The following is a 21,302-nucleotide window of genomic DNA, read 5'->3' on the forward strand; positions in this document are numbered from 1 at the left end:
ACAAATTCTGTGTAAAACAAAAGGTCTCAGATACAGCAGGCTTCTTGGAGTCTAGACATGTGGATTTCATTCAAAAGTATGTTGATCATTTGCTATTTGGCTTTGAGAAAATAATTTAATCATTGAAAATTTACCTCCATTTCCCCAATAGGAATTTGAGTAGATTTGCAAATGCAAGCACTAGTCTAACCCAGCAGACATGCAACCACAGAAGAGGAAAATGACTACCATCTATGTTTCTGGAAGCAAACAACTTTCTCTTCAATTTTATTAATATGTACCCTTGCTTAATAAATTTCATCCCGAGATGGAGGACACTATCATAAAAACTACAAACATTCAAAGCACATGGTTACTCTACCAAACCAAATAAAAACTGTAAACCGTTTCTAATTTTTTTGTTGTTGTTTGTTTGGTTTTTATTTTGGAGATGGAGTCTCCCTCTGTCACCCAGGCTGGAGTGCAGTGGCACGACCTTCCTTCACTGCAACTTCTCCCTCCCAGGTTCAAGCGATTCTCCTCCTTCAGCCTCCTGAGTAGCTGGGATTAATAGGTGCCTGCCACCATGCCTGGCCAGTTTTTTGTTTGTTTGTTTTTGTTTTGTTTTTTTTAGTAGAGATGGGGGTTTCACCACATTGGCCAGGCTGGTCTCAAACTCCTGACCTCCAATAATTCACTGGCCTTGGCCTGCCAAAGTGCTGGGATTACAGGCATGGGCCACTGTGCCCAGCTGTAAACCATGTCTTTCAGAAGCCATTTCTAATGTTGTGGCAACATTAATTTGCATGCTGAAAACAGCTTATTGCAGCATGAAGGCCCTCCAGATACTATTCAAACTTACCTTTCAGTTTCATCTCCCAGCCCCTCACCTGCATGTCTCCTGCAGTCCTGTGGACAAACAACTCACTCTCCCCTCAAAATGCCTCCTTTCCCATTTCTTTTATATTTTATTATTTCCACCTGGAATTCTTCAATTATCCCAGGTCTACCTACTCCTACCTACCAAAATTCCTAATTCTGTAGTTCATTGCCATGTCCCCTACTCCCTGCACATTTGCCTGTCCCCAGATCGCATGCAACTTCTTCCTTCTTTCAATCTGTAATGTGGCTTTCCTACTCATCCTGGGCACTGTTTTTGCACTTATAATCCCACTTTGGAGAGTTCAGGGACTATTTTTAAATGACCTCCACAGTCTCCTTCAGTGCCCATTGCAGTACCTTATAACTAGTAGAATCTCAGTGAGCTTTTGTGGAATTGAATAATCTGTTACATAAAATCCTCCTTCCCAAAAATCAATCTGTATCCCCTGAATAAAAATTGTACCATTTTAACAACAGAAGATTACTGCAGCCAAGTTATATCCTGAACATTTCACTTTAGTTTATTAGCTTTTTAAATGTTAATAAGAAAATGTCATTAAATATATATGTACATACATACATAATGCCTTCTAAGGTGCTGGAATCACTGCCCCTATATTATTCTTATGCCATCTCTGAAGGGTCAGAAATGACATTTATTTTATACACAGGAAACCAAGGATCAACCGACTAATAAGTAGGTGATATCAACCCTCAGACCAGAACTGATTATGCACTACTGAAGACAAAAAAAAAAAAAAAAAAAAAAAGAGAAAATAGAAACCTTCTCTCAAGCAGCTTGTCATTTGCTTGTAGAAAAAAGATAACACATGAGACAAGTACAGCATATGTGCTTAAAGCATTTCTATGGTTTCTGTCCTAAAATAGATTGAGCCAGATTCTACTTGGCTTCCGGCACAAGTAGCTTTTGGCCCCTTTGGTTAATGTCCATTGTAAATATGACTCCCCTGAAGCCCAGCTCCAAGAACTGCACTGTGTGCTTGGCCTACTCCACAAGTGCCATGGGGACTTAAGGGAGGACAAGGCCAGAGTAGTTACAGAAGACCTTAAAAGGAAGTCAAAACTCAAACTGACATTAGACGAAAACAAAATTTGAAATGGTGACCAGAAAAAGTGCAGCCTAGAAAGGAGACAGAAGCCAGACTTGGAGATGGTTATTACCAGAATTAGCCCAGAGTGGAGGGCAGGAAGAGTTAAGTCAACTGACTGGCCTGAAGGGTGTTGGAAAGAGCCAGGGTGGAATGGGGAATAGAAAAGGCAAGGACAGGCTCAAAACCCAGCAGTCAGCTAAGCACAGAACCCATGCCAGACCCTGAAGGTTCTAAGATGGCCCTCGACAATATTCTCTGCCTGCAACTGGAAGGCTTTGATTCTGCTCTCTTCAATCCTCTATTCAGCCATTCCCTATGGATGAACTAGTTAGGTGTACACGACAAATTCACAGGCAACAATGTTGTTTTCAAGCTCCAATTACAGAGGTAACCCATTTTTATTATGGAAAATATGGAAAACCCACAAGTAAAATTTATAAAGTTAACACCCACCAATATCATAATCCAACCACATTTCCTTCACTCATTTATTCACCAAGTACAGTATTTATCAGAATCTGCTACACCCCAAATGTTGTTCTAGGCTTCTGGGACATATAGTGAGAAAAACAGACAAACTTCCCTGCCCTCCCGCAACTTATATTCTATTAGGAGAGAAACACAAAAGTCATTGATAAAGACAAGTAAATGTCAAGTATGTTAAAAGGTAGTAGGGACGAAGTAAAGAGTAGAGCAGGGTAAAAGGATTGGGAGTGCGGGGTGGTGGGGGGAGCTACAAACTTAGGGGAGTCAACTTGCTCTAAATTGAGAATATAGATTTACCAAATTGAGATCCTACTGTTTTATTGGCTTTTTTCCCACTTATTATATAATGAGGATATCCCCAAGCCATTAAATATTCTTTTGCAATATAACTTTTAATGACTGCAGAGAATTCCATCTCATGAATGTACCACATATGCACCATAATTAACTGTTCTACTCATTGGGGCAGTTAGATGTTTTTTAAAAAAGCTATTATAAATAACGCTTCCATTTCCTTAAAAGCAACATAAAGTGGTACATTTACATAGAATTTGGTACAAATAGTGTTAAGGCTCATGATATACTTGAGCTGCATAGGGCATCAGTATCTTAAAGCAATGTGCTCAGATTCTTTGTCTCCCTCTCTTTCTGTCAAGGTTCCTGCCTCCCACACATGGCAATTTTTTCCATCAAGCTCATGGAATTTCTTCGGCTTTCCCATCTCTCCATCAGCTTCTCTGTATATCAAATACTCTATGTATCAGAGGAGAACTCTTCCTTAGACGCCTAACACAGTAGCAGGAACAGAGAAGAACATGCAATACCCATTAGATTAATAAATGAACAAAAAAAATTGAGTGTTCATAAACACTCTGGCTTCCATACAGCCAGGGAGATGCCTGGCAATGTTTCTCTTCTCCCACCTTTCACCGTAAGGAGTGAGTCATATCTCAGACATATTCAGCATCGCTTTAACAAGACTGCAAAGTATTTCCCTGAATGCCTTTAGGATGCTGGAAACCACCATTCAACCTGGACAGCTAAAGAATACTATTGACTATCTAATATAAATGCTTAATAGCAGAAAACCCTTGCATTATTTTCCTTCTTTCCAGTCACTTATAGATGACATTTATATAATGCCTTACACTGGTAACATAAATGAAAAGCATCTTTTTAATAGTTCATAAACCAACATTCCGAATTCCAACCATAGTATTTAGCTGCTGCTCTTATCAAAAAGAAACTTATTTTTTATACTGTCACACCAAGATGAAAAAGCCTGAAAATGATTTGTAGAAAAGTTAGTGAACAAGAAAATACTGCACTCAAAAAATAAAAATAAAAAAACAGGCTACATCAGTTATTCATCACTTGAAGCTGCTTCAGTCTGGGTTCATGCTACTGAGTGATTAGAGTTTCACTGTTTAGCCAATGGAAACCTCTGAGTTTTAACCACTGTATCTCACTGCTTCTAGAAGTCTCAACATCCTCTTTCCAAGGCCCTCTTTTCAGAGTTCGAAGTGAAATCAAAGAGCCATCTCAAAACATTTCCTAATTTATAATGTAGCCTTAGAACAAGGGGCAAATGTCGTCTTACACACACCAGCAGTGAGAACACACACCCGCTGTGACCATTGTCCTTTCTGAGAAGGACCCACACAGCCATTCATCCACTGCACTAAAAATGGACTCCGATGCAAGGAACAAAGGGGATATGGGACTCAGAGCCTTCACTGGGATTCCAGGTTTGAGTATTGGTGCTACGTAACTACTGCAGCTTCACAACTAACCTGGCTGTGTTTCAAAGGCACTGAAAGTGGAGAAGGTGAAGACTCTAGGAACAACGATTGTTTCAACTTGCTCATGCTCAGGACTGTAGATGCATGCGACAGCTCTTTATCATTCATCATCATGAGATCTGGTCACAGCAAACCAAGACGGCAGGGATAATGAGACCAAAGTTGCTAGGCACTATGTGGTCTCAGCTGGCTTCCACACTGTTACACACCACTCTTGTCTGTCTTCAAGATGCACCACAGGAGAAAAGAGTGAAAGCCACGTGTATTTCCATCTTTAATTCCCATCGCTATCCTGAGAAATGATCTGATGGGAAACAAGCAACCCAGTTCCAGTAGGTAAGAGTTAGAAATGAATTTGTCTGCTTCTACCACGTGCTAATGTTCCATACCCCAAAGGTGGGTGTGTGGATGTCAACATCTTAGCACACTTGTTACCATACAATTTCTGCAGCGTTCTTTTGAAACAGAGTTTTAAAAGAATAGAAATTAACCCTATGAAATTCCTTTTTGTGAAGAAGTACTCTGAAAATATTGTTTGTCTTTTGGTGCACTCAACCAACAAATATTTAGTGAGTGCCTATCCTGTGCCAGGCACTATTCTAGGCACCCAAAATATATTACTGAAAAGATAAATGCAGAGAACTTGTCATCTAAGAGCTTAGGTGAAGGGCAGAAGGCACAGAGATATCTAAGAAGTCAGATCTGGTTGGGAAGTGGCTCACACCTGTCATCCCAACACTTTGGGAGGCCAAGGCAGGCAGATCACTTAAGGTCAGGACTTCAAGACCAGCCTGGCCAACATGGCAAAATCCCGTCTTTACTAAAAATACGAAAAAAGAATTAGCCAGGTGTGGTGGCGGACAACTGTAGTGACAGCTACTCAGGAGGCTGAGGCAGGAGAATTGTTCGAACCTGGGAGGTGGAGGTTGCAGTGAGCTAAGACAGTGCCACTGCGCTCCAGCCTGGGTCACAAAGTGTGACTGTGTCTCAAAAAAAAAAATTTTAAGGGAGGTCTGATGAATGCAGTGAATAATGCACAATAAGAGGGGATCAAGAGGAATGGAGGTGGTATCTCAGCAGAGATCAGAAGTTGAGTGAGAGATAATCCTGCAGATATGGTGGCAGGGGGGAAGACGGAAGAAGGAAAAAGACCCTGAGGCAGGACAATGTCAGATTCAAAGGTGAAGGCGACTGCAGAAGCTGGGTGTTTAGAGCCAGAGGAGGGAGAAGAACAGTGGGAAAAGGCAGGAATGGGCAATGGGGAGAGATGACCCTACCACCGCAGAAGTCACTCCAGGACCCTGGCCTTTATCCGCAGTGATAGGTAAGCAGTGATTGGTGGAGGGCAGTGGTGTGAAATAAAGCTTGACAGAATCTAACTTACCTTCTAACTTACCGTGAGGTGAAGAATAGACTGAAGGGAAATAATTGGGAGCAGGGAGGGCAGTTAGGAGGCAGTGATGGCTCTGTATGTGAGAAATGATCCCCTGGAAACGCGAAGAAGTTGTCTGGTTGTAGATATATTTTGAAAAAAAAAATCATAAGTAGCTAATGGCTTAGATTTGGGTATGAGAGAATGAGAGGGGTCATGGATGAATCCAGAGTTTCTGGCCTGAACAATGAAAGCAGGGCATTGCCCATCTTGAAGTCGGGGAAGACCAAGGCAGGAGGTCAAGAATCCATCTTGAGACTCAAAGTTGAGATGCTCAATTGACATCATCTAGATGAAGATACTGAGTTCTGGGAAGAAATCCAGGCAAGAAATAAAAGTCTGGTGAGAGGTCCAGGCAACACAGGTAAATCTGAGAGTTGCCAATAGGGTATTTAAAGTCATGGAGCTATCATGGTAAGTGCCCAGCCATTCTTCCTCTGCTCACAACTAGAAATTCTCAACAAAATATAAACAGCAACTACCTGAGAACTAGGAAAACAAAACAAAATCAGGCAGGATGTAGAGAGGAGTCAAATGTTGGCAAAGTAACCTAAGATAGGGTTAATTTCCTTCCCCCACTTTCCCTGCTCCTACTTCTCTAACGGCCTTGCCCCAAGGGTGGGCACCAGTCACAGAGGTCCACAATCAGATAAATCTTACAGAAATCAAAGAGGAAAAGGGATTCTTATGAATCAGAAAATGAGTGGAACCACAGAGAGGAGAGAGCTGGAGAGAGAGATCCTCTAATTCTTCTCCCTCCCATCCCTCCCCCCAGACAGAGTCTCCTCTGACACCAAGGCTGGAGTGAGTACAGTGGCGCGATCTTGGCTCCCTATCACCTCCGCCTCCTGAGTTCAAGTGATTCTCCTGCCTCAGCCTCCTGAGTAGCTGGGATTACAGGCACGTGCCACCACATCCAGCTAATTTTTTTAATTTTTAGTAGAGACAGGGTTTCACTGTGTTGGCCAGGCTGGTCTCAAACTCCTAACCTCGTGATCCACCTCAGCCTCCTAAAATGCTAGGATTACAAGTGTAAGCCACTGTGCCCTGCGCCCTAATTCTATATATGAACCTCCACCCCACTCTGCCCAAGGTCTCAGGTTCATCCAAGTCACATGCGGGCAGGACACACTCAAAGCGATATAACAGAGACCTGAGGACTGAACCAAGATTCACACCAGGGCCCAAATCTCAAAGTAATCCCTGGTGATACAATTTCAGGACAGACCCAAAGTGGAAAGCCAGGGCTTTAAAAATCTCAACTCACACTGGAAACACCACCAATAGAGATCGAGACAGAACTACTTGCAGCCTGAACCTAACCACGATGGATGGTGGTTGTCTGATTTAAAAAACAAAACAAAACAAAAAAAACTCCCAGATTACAAAAGGAACCAGAGTTTACACAAGATAACATTCACAATGTTCAGGACAATGCAAAATTACTCAAGGCACAAAGAAATGGAGAAATGTCACCAGTTTCCAACGGAAAAGACAATCAACGGATGCCAACTCCAACATGACCCAGATGTTAGAATTATCAAGTGAAGGCTTTAGAGCAGCTATTTTAGCTATGTTCCATAAGGCAAATGCTCTTGAAATAAATGGAAAGCTGGGCATTCCCAGCAGGGAAACAGGAACTATAAAAAAGAACCCAGTGGAAATTATAGAACTGAAAACCAGAATATCTGAAATCCAAAATTCACGGAATCGTCTTGAAGCAGAATGGAGGTAACAGTCAAGAAAAGTCAGTACTTGAACATCAACAGAAACTATTCTATCTGAAGAACAAAGAATAAAGACTGAACGATTATAATAAATTCAGCCTCAGTAACTTGTGGAATGATACCAAAAGATGTAATACATGCTGTGTAGTATAAGAAGGAACAGAGGAAGAAATTAAGACCAAAAATCAACATTTGCAGAAACAGTCATGGAACTTGGTAAGAACACCTATAAATTAAGCAGCAGGAGGAAAAAGCCTCGGGAGCCGCACAAGCATTGTCCACTGTTTAGACATTGGCAAGAGGAAGAGAAACCATCAACCCAGACAGGATTGGAAGGATCTTTCAGGAAGACAACTGGGAGGCTCGGTACTGGAACCAAAGGAAGAAAATCAAGAAGAAAGGAGTGAACCATCATGTCAAACACTACTGATAAATGAAGCCCGATTAGAACTGAGAGCAACCAACCAATGGATTTGACAATGAAAGAGTTATTAGTAGCATTGACAAGACCAGTCTCGTAGAGGACTAGAGACAAAAGTCAAACTAAAGAGGATCAAGAAAAGAAAGGAGAGGGAGTGTAGAAAATTCTTTCAGTAAAAGGGAAGAAAGAATGCACCAGAAGCTAAACAGAGGTGGCTTTGAGAATGCTTTTTTTTTTCCTCCTAAAACAGAGTCTCACTCTGTCACCCAGGATGGAATACAGTCTTATAATCTCTACTCACTGCAGCCTTGAGTTTTTGGGCTCAAGTGATCCTTCCACCTCAGTCTCCTGAGTAGCTGGGACCACAGGCATGCACCACCACGCCTAGCTAATTTTTTTATATCTTTTACAGAGACAGCATTTTGCCATGTTGGCTAGGCTGGTCTTGAAGTCCTGACCTCAAGTCATCCTCCCACCTCGGCCTCCCAAAGTGCTGGGATTACAGGTGTGAGCCACCATGCCCAGCCGCGAGTACATTTTGTAAGATGAAAGATATTTCTGTATGCTGATGAGATGACACAGTAGAGAAGAAAAACTAATGGTACCAGGACAGATTAACCAACATTAGAACAATGACCTTCAGTAAGTGAGAAGGACAGGAGCTAGCACCCAAAAAGGGCAGGGCTTTGGCATGTGCAGGGCCAGAGTATGCACATTTTAGCTAGAAGGAAATCAGTCTATAAGTTCAGATGTGGATAGGTTTGTAAATTTAGTATTGAATGTAAATACTGTCTTCATAATGTTTTTACTTCAGCGAAGTAAGAAGCAGGGTCACCAGCTGATATTAAGGAAAGGTGAGATGTTGAAGGTTGAGGAGAAAGGTAAAGCCAGAGAGTTTCTGGACTAGGGAAATAGGTAAAGCAGAAATTCAGCAGGGGCATAGGTAGGAATTTTTAGGGAATGTTAAAGGTCACAGATGACTGCAATTTTCAAATTGTCTGAAAAACAATTAGAAGACTGTTTTTCAATAAAACAATTACTGGCCAACATGGTGATTCCCCAACTCTACTGAAAAACAAAAAATTAGCTGGATGTGGTGGTGGGCACCTATAATCCCAGCTACTTGGGAGGCTGACATGCTTGAGCCCAGGAGGTGGAAGCTGCAGTGAGCAGAATCGTGCCACTGCATTCTAGCCTTGGCCACCCTGAGACTCTTATCTCAAACAAACAAAAAAAAAAATTACCCCACTAAATGCTACTTAGTCATACTGCAAATATGTTTCCTAAATTGTTTTCTCAGGGACTAATCCCAAGTTTTAGGGAATCACTATTAACCTTAACACTCAGCATACCGGGGCAAAAAGGCCTAACAAGAAGTATCCAGACATCTCTGCATAGAGGGCTCTTTAGAATTAGCATGTAATACTGAAACCTAACAAACAGGCAAAGTTTTCGGATTGGGACTCCAGACTGAGAATTCTTCAAATAACCAACGACAGAGTACAAAAATGATTCCAGGATAAGTCACCAGGAAGGGTAACTATTACAGAAAGGTAGAACTCATTTTGTCCTCATAGCTAAGCAGTTACTGATTATGTCTGACGTAAATGCAAGTCAGGCACGTAATAGAAAATGTAAATAGGCTCCAGGAATGTCCCTGTGTCCCCAGCTCATTAAGCAGAGAAGAAAGTCCAAGACAAACAGTGTAAAGGAAAATGTCAACAATAAAGTCATCACTGGTGGGACCTCAAGGCAGCAGAGTGGAATCACAACTAGATCCTGCAATGTAACTAATCAAAATCTTATGAATTTTTTTTTACAAAGCAGAAATTCCATACGTTTTGACCCACGAAGGGGAGAGCTTCAGCACATGAAACAGATTCGTCTGGAGTAATAGGAAGTATGTCCAAATGAGGGAGGAGGCATCCAAAAGGACAAGACCTGGTAAGTGACACCAAGCAGGTAAGACCAGGAAGCCCTCATTATAATGACAGTAACTACAACAATAATAGAAACCAATGCAATTAGTGGTTACTCACTAACGGCCATCCCATGCTGGGAGCTTGACTGTCTCCTCTGGTATCACTTAATCCTGACATAAAGATTAAGTAGGAGATATCATTATCCCTATTCTATGAATAAGGAAACAGTCTTACAAACGTTATGCAATCAATAGTGTAGAAAAATTTCATAAAGACTTGAAAAACTTTCATAATTATTCTATGTACAGGAACTCTTCTTAAAGGTAAGGAAATTCAAGACAGCAGCAAAGCCATAAGAAACTTCCTCTTGGGTGCAGTGGCTCACACCTCTTATCCCAGCACTTTGGGAGGCCGAGTAACGTGGATCGCTTGAGCTCAGGAGTTCGAGGCCAGCCTGGGCAACATGATAAACCCCCGTTTCTACAAACAAAATACAAAAATTAGTGGGGTTTGGTGATGTGCATCTCTAGTCCCAGCTACTTGGGAGGCTGAGGTGAGAGAACTGGCTTGAGCTCAGGGAGGTCGAGGCTGCAATGAGCCATGATCATGCCACTGTACTCCAGCCTGGGCAACAGAGGGAGATCCTGCCTCAAAAAATAAAAAATAAAATAAAATAAAACACAAAGGGAAAATTCCAACAACTTAACCCATATACAGATCAATCTCATTTTAAGGTACTGACGCAGGATGCTGACAATGCTGATCAAATACCCCTGTAGCCACCTTTAAAAAGCTAGGATACTCGCTATTCTTCTTCAAATCGCCTTTCAACCTGTGCACAAAGGAAGGTCCGGCACCACCTGCTGTGACTCAAGACAGTCATGTGCCATCAATATTCACCAGCTACCCACAAACAGGTGCTGGTGCCCAAATTCCTTGGGTTATGAAAACGCCACTCTTAGGTTCTGACATACAAGAGGGTGGAAGAGGAAGCCAGAGTCCCGGCAACACTTTACCTGCGGCTTTATAGAAATAACTTCACACACTCTCATCTCAATTTCCTACCCTATAAAAGTGAGGAATGTGCACTGAATTCATAGACCTTCTGAGCTGGAAGGGGGCCTACATACCGGCTTAGAGTAGATTCAATTCATTTACAGGTTATAATGGACAAAGCACCCTTCCAGTAGCAAAATTCTAAAAATAGCCACGACAAACTTTAGTTCTGAAAGTTTACTTAACAAATTACTTGTTTGAAATTGGAAATATACTTCCCCACAGGAATAATGTTATAGATTTCTATGTCAACCTCCAAAAGCCTATTTCACTTGTAAACTACCTGAAATAGTATAGTTGGCCCCCTGCATCCATGGGCTCCTCTGCATCCATGGACTCAACCAACCACAGATAAAAAATATTTGGAAAAATAAAAATTAAAAAGACAAAAATTAAAAATAGTGCAAATATAGGCCTGGAATGGTGGCTCATGTCTGTAATCCCAGCGCTTTGGGAGGCCAAGGCAGGTGGATCACCTGAGGTCAGAAGTTCAAGACCAGCCTGGCCAACGTGGCAAAACCCTGCCTGTACTAAAAATATAAAAATCAGCCGGGTGTGGTGGCGGGTGCCTGTAATCCCAGCTACCTGGGAGGCTGAGGCAGGACAATCACTTGAACCCAGGAGGTGGAGGTTGCAGTCAGCAGAGATCACACCACTGCACTCCAGCCTGGGCAACAAAGGAAGAATCTGCACCCTCGCCCCACCCCCCCCCCCCCCCACAAAAAAAGAGAATAGTGCAAATTTTAAATACAGTATAACAACTATTTACATAGCTCTTACACTGTGTTAGGTATTACAAGTAATCTAAGAGGTGATTTAAAGTAGTCATGTGTCACCGAATGACTGTGATAGGTCTGAGAGATCTATCATTAGGCAATTTCATCAGCACGTGAACATCAAAATGTACTCACACAAACCTACACGGTATTAGGTTTTTATTTATGTATATGTTTTCACATGGAAAAACAAATATCCCAGAACCATTACTGAATATCAACCATTTTTCCTACTTGATCTGCAATGCCACTATTTAGTGCCATATGTCAGGTTTCTACATATGCCCCATTATCTTATGGGACCACAGTTGTATATGTGGTCCCTTGTTGATGAAAACTGCGTGTGACTGTACAGACTGTATACAAGACGATGTGTGTAGGTTACACACCAATACTACTCCATGTTATACAAGGGACTTGGGCATCCAGATTTCAGTATCCCCAAAACTCCTGGAACCAATCCCCTGAAGATATGAAGGGACGACCTTACTACTATCACAAGGTCATAGAAGCTCATTGGGATACTAGGAAAGCATCTCCCACCTCCCTGCAGAGCCCCCACTGCCCCTGCCAAGCCACCAACACCAAGCAATAGGAAGAAATTCACAGCAAGGAAAGGAACAGAGTAAGAATGGAAACAGTAGAAAGGCAGGAATTGGATATGTGTAAGAGGTTGAGGCAAAGAATGAGAACTAGACCAGCAGATCCATAAATGCAGCGGGAGAGAGAGGCAAAGGGGGAAATGGTGCATCTGTCCTTCGCGCCCCCATCCCCATCGCTGGCTCCTCCATCACAGCAGACTTCTGTCGCCACCAGCACAACATTAAAAGGAAGAACTGGGGACCTAGGGACCTGGGAGGAGAGAGGTCAGAGCAGATACAAGACAAGTCTCCTGGGTCTGCATCAGGTAAGTGGTAAATCTGCAGGCGACATACTGCCCAAATCTAAAAATAACAAACAGACATTTCTAAAACCATAATTTGGTACGTCCAAGGGTTCCTACGCTTGAAGTGCCTGACCTCGGCACTTGCAGCACCTCATCTGGCCTGGATGTGCTTCCAAGTTCCCACTTGCTCCCTCAACTCCTCCCATCTCTGTCCCCTGCCCTGGGAATGCCAGGCTGGGCCAGAGTCTGGGCCCGTGCCCTGAGCACCATGCTCAGAAGGCACTGCTCACACCTTCTCTAGCCACACCATGTCATAGGGCAGAGTTCACAGGGCCCCCAAGACATGTTCACCTGGACACCACCCCACCTTCTGGGTCACACTCCAGGTCTCCCTGGGCCTGCTGCTTTACCTGCCAGTGTCCATTTTCTCAAGGGTGAAGCACTTCACCAGTTTGCATAAGAGAGGTTGTCTGCAGAGGTGTAGACAGACTTGGGACCTGTGGCCAGGGATGTCTCCCTGTACCACAGAAAGATTTTGGACAAGAAACTTGAGGAGTCTGAGAATTCTACATTGGAGCCTGGCTTCCAGGTTGTTGTGAAGGTCGTGTTTATTTACCAGGATGGCAGTATAGGACCTGATTTTTAGAGAGCTTGACTTAGAACTTGGAAACAGCTACTTAGACACATGGAATGTGAGCCTCTGTTTGTACTCCTGCCTCGGGTCCAGCAAGTGTTAGGAGCGAGCCTGTCTCTCCTCTCCCTGCTTTGGGCCGCTAGGCAATGTGCCCAGAAGGTCTAATCAGAGTGTTTGCTAATGAGTTGGCAAGCTCACTTACCTCCCTTCCTAGGGCTCTTCTTAATTAGAAACAAAACAGCTCCCAGCACTCCCCAAACAGAAAGTTGCAGCAAATTTCACACCCAATAAAGGAAACTTCCCTCTGCCACTCACCCACACACGAGATCAAAAAGATGACACCTGTTGTCACCCCTGCCCGGGGACGTATGGTCTTTCCCGGTCTTTGCTGTCAGTACTCTACTCCCAGGGTTTCCACCTAAGGAGAGCACTCACTGATGTACACTGGGACTTCAGAGCCCAAAGATTGTGTAAAATATTCAGGCAACAACAGCCAAAACCACAAGGAAGCCATTGACACAAGTCTTGGGTTACTCACCTCCGTGCAATTCGGGGCCACACCAATGCACAGCCTGAGCAAGGCTGCGGATCCCAGAACAAGCCCGTCTGCCCAAGTTTGAGGTCTGGTTTTAAGCAGCCTTTCCGGCCAGCACAGATAACACTATCCTGTTCTGCAATCAGGGCCAGGACACTGCAGTCAGCAGCCCTCACAGGTCCAACTGCAGACCGCTGTCAAGCAACCCCATGACCATATATGAAATCCCAATTACCTGTACTTATCCATCGCTAGTTCACTTCGCTGCAGTCCTTCGTAAACCAAAGAGCAGGTAGAACGAGTTCACCCTGAACACAGCATCCCTTTAAATGACCCTGGAGACCGTGATTTGCCATTGCCAGACAGGATGGACGGGAACAGATAGGCAACTGTGTGCGATCACAGGACATAATGGAATGAAATGTCAGATCAGGTGTTAGGATTTGATCTGTGCTATGGTTCAATCTGTGCTACAGAGTTCACACTTGGTCAGGCTTTTCCACGATGTGTAAAATTCTACAAGGTCTGTGCGGCATCACCTTTACTCTACTTTGCTCAACCACGATCACTGTGATTAGGAAGCCTGCCTATAGCCACATGACCCTCGCCACCTCCCACAGCCTGGGGGCCAGTTGTCATGGCATTTTATCAGGATCTTGGTCATGAGAAACCACTCTAAAAATGGGTTTCAGAAAGTAGAAGCAAGGCAAAAAAAGCTCTGACAATTTAAAAACCATTAGAATTACTAAGAGTTTGGTAAGGTGTCAAGTTCTTTTAAAAATAGCCTTTCCACACACCAATGGCAGCCAGTTAGAAAAGATTGTGGAAGAGGGCTATACAGTCCCTTTCGTAACTGATATTAAAAATAACTACCTAGAACTGAACATTAAAAATTTGCCAAAAACACACAAAAAATACCAAGCACATGAAAGGAAAATGGAATAGACAGACCATATACCTGGAAAGTAATTTATTATATAGATCTCAAGTCTTTCAAAATTTATGTAAAATGAATATTAATCTAATTAAATCCCAAAAGGATTTTTTCTACAGCTTGGCAAAAATGATTCTTAAGCTTTCATAGTGTAATAAATGTAAGAAAAGTCAAGAAAGTATTTTTTTTTTTAAGGAAAAGCTATTGAGGGACAGAGGGCAAGACCACATTCTACCAAATATAAAAATATGTAGTAAGGCCAGGAGTGGTGGCTCATGCCTGTAATCCCAGCACTTTGGAAGGCCAAGGCAGGTGGATCATCTGAGGTCAGGAGTTCAAAACCAACATCCCCAACATGGTGAAACCCCGTCTATACTAAAAATATAAAAATTAGCCGGGTATGGCGGCACACACCTGTAATCCCAGCTACTTGGGAGGCTGAAGCAGGAGAATCGTATGAGCCTGGGAGGCGGAGATTGCAGGGAGCAGAGATAGTGCCATTGCACTCTAGCCCAGGCAACAGAACTTGACTCCATCTCAAAAAAAAAATACATAATAAAGCTCAATGATTCAGTAATAATCTAGCAACAGACAGGCAGATCAATGCAAGAGAACAGAAAATCCTGAAACAGATCTAAGAATAAATAATTTATTATATGGTAAAGGTGGCATTTCAAATCAATGGGAAAAGGTACGTTCATTGACAAAGGTATTGAAGCAACGGGTTAAGATTTGGAAAATAACTATCTCTGCTCCCAAACATTCACCATATGAGACTGTAGACCTAATAAAAATAAACATAAGATTATGAGAATAAAATATCAATAAATATTTTATACTATCTTGCAGTGGGATAGGAATTGTCTCACTCCTGCTGGGGTGACTCCCCATAACCCCAGGGCTCTCAGTTCCAAAGAGAAAAAGGGAACAGATGCCTCCTCCCCTCCTCACTCCCCTGGGACCCAGGGATTGCTCCCTGAAGGTATCGAGCCACCCTCCCTCCCACTCCTCCTGGGAGGCCAAAGAAGCTTAAACAGCAGGGCCCCTCCCTGTGCTGCCCCTGGGAGTGCATGGAGTTCTGGAAAGGGAAGAAAAGCCAGGTTCCAATCAAAAAGCCTCTCCGTGTAAGCCTTTCTGGCCAACCACCTAAAAAGAGCTCAGAAGAAAAAAAGAACGTGAATCTCCAAAGTGTCAGTCATTTGTTCACTTTTCTTTTCTCATTCTAAGTAAATATTCACTTTGGTATGTAATTTCATATCCATGTTGTATGCTTTCTTTAAAAAAATGTGTGAATTTCAGGCTCCACAAAACCTGGATCCATCCCTGTTCCCACACTTTCTACTGTAACAGCACTCACAGATTTTGCCCTCAATCTATCTTATTAAGTTCACATTAAATAACTATACATTTGTAACAGGTGCATTTATGACTATGGTAAAGAGCACAAACTTTGAAATTTGAACTTGGGAAAGCATGAGGAGATCAGGTATGTAAAAATGCTAAGAACAGTACCCAATACATGGCAATAAAAACCTGACGAAGCAAGGCCTGAACAAATATGTTAAAGTGCTTATTCCCAGTTGGCAAGATAATGGGAGTTTTTTCTTCTTTTTATTTCTATTTTCTAACTTACCAGCAATGAGCACATAAGGCAGTTATGTCCCATCAGCCCAGGAGTTTGAGACCAGTCTGGGCAACATGGCAAAACCCTGTCTCTACAAAAATGAGCTGGGCTTGGTGTCATGTGCCTGTGGTCCCAGCTAACCAGGAGGCTGAGATGGGAGGATTGCCAGAGGCTGCAGTGAGTCACGATTGCACCACTGCACTCCAGCATGGGAGACAGAGGAAGACCCTGCCCCAAAAACAAAACAAGAAACAAAGAAATAAAACAAGAAAAAAATTATTTGAGGATGCTCCTAATTAGCATTAACTAGTTCTTAGTGTTACATGGTTCTTTAAAAGGAACGGTTTCAAAGTACAGTGCCCTGAACTATCAACCTTAATATGATTTTGAGAGCTGGGTTCTCAGGCTGAAGGTGCCCCTGATGGATTCAGATGAGATGGAACGATGGTCCCTCCCTCAGTACAGATCCTGCTTCTAGGCCATCATTCATATTCTGAATCTGACAGGCAGGTATTTCAAGGAAGCGCATTTTGCCACCAGGCTAACTTTGACATACCAACGAGAAGGAGTGGGAAGAGGTAGTTTTGGAGTAAGGAGGCTTGAGTTTAAGTTCTACTTCTGCTAGTTAATAGCCGTACAACCTCAGGCAAATGACTTAACTTCATTAAGGCCACCTGATCACTTGTAAAACTTGGGTAGTGCCATCTACCCATACTCATGTATCGAAACAATCGCGTAAGTACACACTCTTGGTGGACTGTGACGTGTTCCTCAAGTAGGAAGATTACAGTGATAGCTGCCTTTACACAAATGACTACACAGCACAGTCAAGGGCACAGTTAATTCTTTTTCTCCAGTGAATCAACCTTGGCCGATGGAAATGGGAACTTCAGGGTTCTGCTTTGCTCTCCAGCCAGCGGACTGACAAGGACCCCCCAAAAGCAGAGCCAAAGAGAGTTAAAAACAAATGGCCATGCAGGGGACACACAGGGTGGTCTCCATGTCAGCCAGGACTCTTGATAACAACGGATGGACTGAACACTTACCAGCTTAGAGGAAAAAAAACTAGAAGAATAGAAAAAGCTCACTCTCACTTTATCTATAGGAGACAGCATTCAGGGGGCTCAAAGAAGCCCACCAGGTCTCAGGAGCTACAGGAGTCTTGCTGCCACAGCCACCAACGCATTCTAACTGACCTTCCTCTTTGCACTGCTCGCTCCAGTTTCAAAGTTCCAGTGAAATGCACCCAGCTGGCTGTCCTTGGGGGTTTGTCTGTGCCTAGGCAGAGCCAATGCCTGCCTCCTACCAAGACTACACATAGAAGGCAAGTCCCAGGAACTGAAATAATAGCCACCAAAAAACAAACTCCACTGGGCATAAACATTGGCCACATAGAACTTCAATTCCTCTGCAAACTGGAGCTTTTCACCACCTCTCCCTTGTGCCTAGATAGGATAAAATAATAGAAGCTGGACAGGGAGGGAACATTCAGAAATTTAACAACCTCAGAAGGGAACATTCAGAACCACCCCAGACAGGGATACCATCCATCCTCTGACTGCCCTGGGAAAGTAACAGGTGACGTCACAGAGTCATCATGGTTGCTGGACTAGAGATAGGACTTCTGGTGGGGCACATCTCTCTCTCCTTCTCTGACTCCATGGCCAACAGTTTAACGTAATGGTTCCCTCTCAGCCTTGGCACAGAGCTTTCCATCAGGACCAAATCATACACAATATAGATGCCCATATGCTAGGAAACACAAGCAACAAAGATCTGTTTTTCAAATGCCCTGTATAACTTAAATGTTATGATTGCGGTTTGGATCTATTCATGGTCTTGGGGCTTGTTTGCATTAAGAACTGCAAAAAATGTGCACAGTATGAGAGTGTATTTGTGACGTTTGTTTTACCACAATGCAGTCAATACATCGAGACCTCAAAACCACCAATGAGCTTTTTCTCTAGTTGGTCATCCTACCAACCTCTTGACAAATTCCTCAGCAAGACATTTAACCATCAATCTCTATCTATGATCACTTAAACACACACACTTCCTCTACTAGGCAGAAAAACTTAGGTAATCAATGTCTCATCCTCTGACCCATCAGAAGTTTTGCTTTAGAAAAAGAGTATAGCTGCTCCAAAAGAGATGCCCCACTAAAATATATTATATATGTGCATATCACAACAATCTCAATGTACAATGCCGTACAGATGTGATGCAAATTACTAAAAAAAAATGAAATTAACTAAAATGGAAGTTCTTTTCACATAGAAGTTAATTAGCACAAAGTATAAACTGGATTATGTTACTCCGTCCATGTTGTATGCCTTGGTCCATTACCACACTAATATAATTCCTGAAATATCAACCATTTCTCACATGTCAGAGAAAATTTGGCTTTTAAAGACATGCAGTTCCAGAAATGAAACTCCATTCACCTATTATCAACTCTAGTCTTTGATCTTTACTCCTTATAAAGAAAAAGACTACATAAAGACAATACTATTATTACTATGTCCATTACAACTGTAGATCATGAAGCAAAAATTATTGCTGTTTTTCAATGGCTGACACTTCCAGGACAATTTCTTGTAGAAGTCAGTAAATGGAAAAGTGACTGAAGCAGATACTGTATAACCCTCAGAGGAAAAAGAATCAAGTTTCTGAGAACACATAAACAGCCACTGACTTACAGGATGACAAATAATCAGTTTCTTACATCCGTGTTGTGGTTTGCAAGGTACAATTTACCGTTTAGAATCTACTTTATAGGAGTCATCAATCTCACAGCCCTCCTCTCAAAACATCCCTCTGAAGTAGGTGTTCATTTCCCATTTTACACATGGCCAGTTGACACCCCCAGAGTGAACAACTCTCTGACTAGATCAGTATTTGGTCCCTGGAGACATCGGTGGGGCCTTCTTGAAGCCCTGTGTCTTCCCATGGGCTGCTTTCCTCAATGGGTAATTTAGGGAAATAGATGGAGTTGATTGGTAAGATCTTTGAGATCAGGGTGAGGAGAACAATTCATACCTATAGGGACGTCACCAGGGTTGCTGCAGCATCCATCCACATGGGAGATTGATTCTGTAAAAAAAAATCTCTTTGGTCTAATATAAAACAAAATGGTAGACAAGTGGCCACACCCTGAAGGGGAAGGCAAGGGGTCACGCAGGTGGTGGGCAATTGCTAAGTGACATTTTTCTAAAGGTGGAATTCCTTTGTTCTAAAGCAAATGTTTAACCAGTGCCCATTGTATATGTGCTGTGCCAGGAGCCCTGCACTTAAAATCCAGAAATTATGTCACATACATGATAGAAACAATGCCACCTTATACTTTGCATTGACTCCTTCCCTTCACCCTATTCTCTCATCTTTATTTTAAAAAAAGAAAAAGCTGATAAAATAGATAGGAATATGAAAGCTCTCTCAGCCCACTGTATCCTTCTCCCTCTTTCCTGTCTCAGCTAAGCACTCTGAGAGCATCGTCTACACCTGCTGCTTCCAGATCATCATCTCCCAGTTGTTCCCAGCAGCCCAGCAGTCTGACTTCCATCCCTACCATCCCAACAGAACTGCCCTCGCCAACCTCCTCCACATGCACCATGGTCCGAAGATAATGAACACTGCTCAGGACTCGCCTAACTGGGACAAAATTGATTCCTATCTGGACGTGCAGCCATGCATGTCCACGTAATTATGGATAACAGTGCAGTGTCACCTTAGCAACAAGTGATCAGTCTTTCATTTAGAAGCCACAGTTTGGCTAGGGTAAATGTTAATGAGAGGCTTCTAATGGAGTATGGCAGTTTTAAAACATACCAAAATCTTTGATTCTCCTCTTAATCCATCTCCTATTGCCCCGTCCTCTGCAATCTGGGCCAAGGAGTACAGCACAGCAGTAGCGATGCCATGTGCCTTCCAAGACGATGTCATAAAAGACTGTATTATAGTTCTCCACCTGGTTCTCCTGGAACAATCACTCTTATAACCCAGCTACCATGGTATGACAAGGTCCAGGCAGCCCATGGCGTGTTCTACATGAAGAGGGCCATTTGGAGAGGAACCAGGACCCCGGCCCTGGACCCCAACTGAGCTCTGGTCAACAGCCTTTTGAGCAGCCATCTTGAAAGAGGATTCTCCAGCCCCCTGAACGGTCCCAGCTGACACTGCATGGAACCCAAACCTTCCATGCCTAGCCATGCCCAAGTTGCCTATTTCCGAACTCAATAACTGTTGTTTTGAGCCACTGTTTTGAAGAGGTTTGCTACACAGCAATAAATAACTGATACACACGACTATAAAAGATTCTGGCTTCTGCTTAAAAATTCTATGAGAAAGATGCTGAGAATTTTCTATGTATTAAACTATTAAGATTTATAGGAGGCCATTGATTTAGACTGAGCTCCTGCTCTAGGCTTCAACAGATCCAACCAAAATAGAGTCACTCATGCTAAAGTTCCACATCACCAAACCAAAACTAAGCTATTTATCTGACCTGAGAAATCAAGAGAGAGAGATGCTAGTTAAATCCCCAAACAGCAAGTTTTAGCATAAAGAAGTCCCCTGTGCTTGAACCCTTACAAGGAAAGTGACGTAGAGTAACCTGATATTAACAATCTGCTTTTTTGCGCTATGCTGTTTTCTTGTTCCTGCTCAAGCCACCTTTTAAAAACCAACCGCCAATGCCTGATCCAGAGTCCCTTTTCTGCATCTTTAGATGAAATGATGCCCAGTTCATGAATCACTAATCATTAAAGCCAATTTGAGTTTCAAACTAAATGTGTTGAATTTTAACAGGACTCAACAAATAAAACACTATATTGTAGAGACAACTGCAGGTATAAATTTACTACAATCTGGATAAAACTTTTTTGGAAAAGGTTCAAAGCAGTTATATTCTAATACATTTCCTAATATTGAGTGGACAATTAATACATGAATACTTTTCAAATCAATTGCTAAAGTAACAGAAGATATAATTTTACCTCTTTTCCTTCCAGAAGGCAACATTAACTGCATTTATAGCCAAGTAATGCTATTTTAAAATCTTCGTTATCCAGATTAATTCTCCATACTATTATAAAT

At 42.6% G+C, this 21,302-nt stretch overlaps 1 protein-coding gene and 1 long non-coding RNA gene across 42 annotated transcripts in view, besides 1 other annotated feature; one reads left to right on the top strand and one right to left on the bottom strand.

Moving 5' to 3' along the window:
- Window positions 1-21,302, bottom strand: part of CSGALNACT1 (chondroitin sulfate N-acetylgalactosaminyltransferase 1) — a 353,748-nt gene that overhangs the window by 264,882 nt on the left and 67,564 nt on the right. For 4 of the 41 annotated variants that reach the window (XM_024447191.2, XM_047421978.1, NM_018371.5 and 1 more), the window contains exon 1: window positions 13,431-13,561. The exons of 34 other annotated variants lie outside the window; for them this stretch is intronic. The gene's annotated coding sequence lies outside the window, so the exon portion shown is untranslated. Of the gene's footprint in view, window positions 1-13,430; window positions 13,562-13,653; window positions 13,720-13,885; window positions 14,199-21,302 lie in introns of those variants that run through there. 3 more of the 41 variants (NR_024040.3, XM_024447192.2, XM_006716363.1) reach the window with 2 other exon arrangements.
- Window positions 9,503-20,520, top strand: CSGALNACT1-AS1 (CSGALNACT1 antisense RNA 1). Its single transcript, XR_007060841.1, has 2 exons — window positions 9,503-9,785; window positions 19,682-20,520. It is a non-coding gene; the product is annotated as a CSGALNACT1 antisense RNA 1 (long non-coding RNA).
- Window positions 10,253-10,853: an enhancer, noted in NCBI's record as "OCT4-NANOG hESC enhancer chr8:19536806-19537406 (GRCh37/hg19 assembly coordinates)". NCBI's record gives its function as "activates a minimal SCP1, AML or CMV promoter by ChIP-STARR-seq in naive H9 embryonic stem cells {active_cell/tissue: H9 hESC(naive)}" and the evidence as "EXISTENCE:reporter gene assay evidence [ECO:0000049][PMID:30033119]".

Source organism: Homo sapiens, chromosome 8 (assembly GCF_000001405.40).
Source record: "Homo sapiens chromosome 8, GRCh38.p14 Primary Assembly".
NCBI lineage: Eukaryota > Metazoa > Chordata > Mammalia > Primates > Hominidae > Homo > Homo sapiens.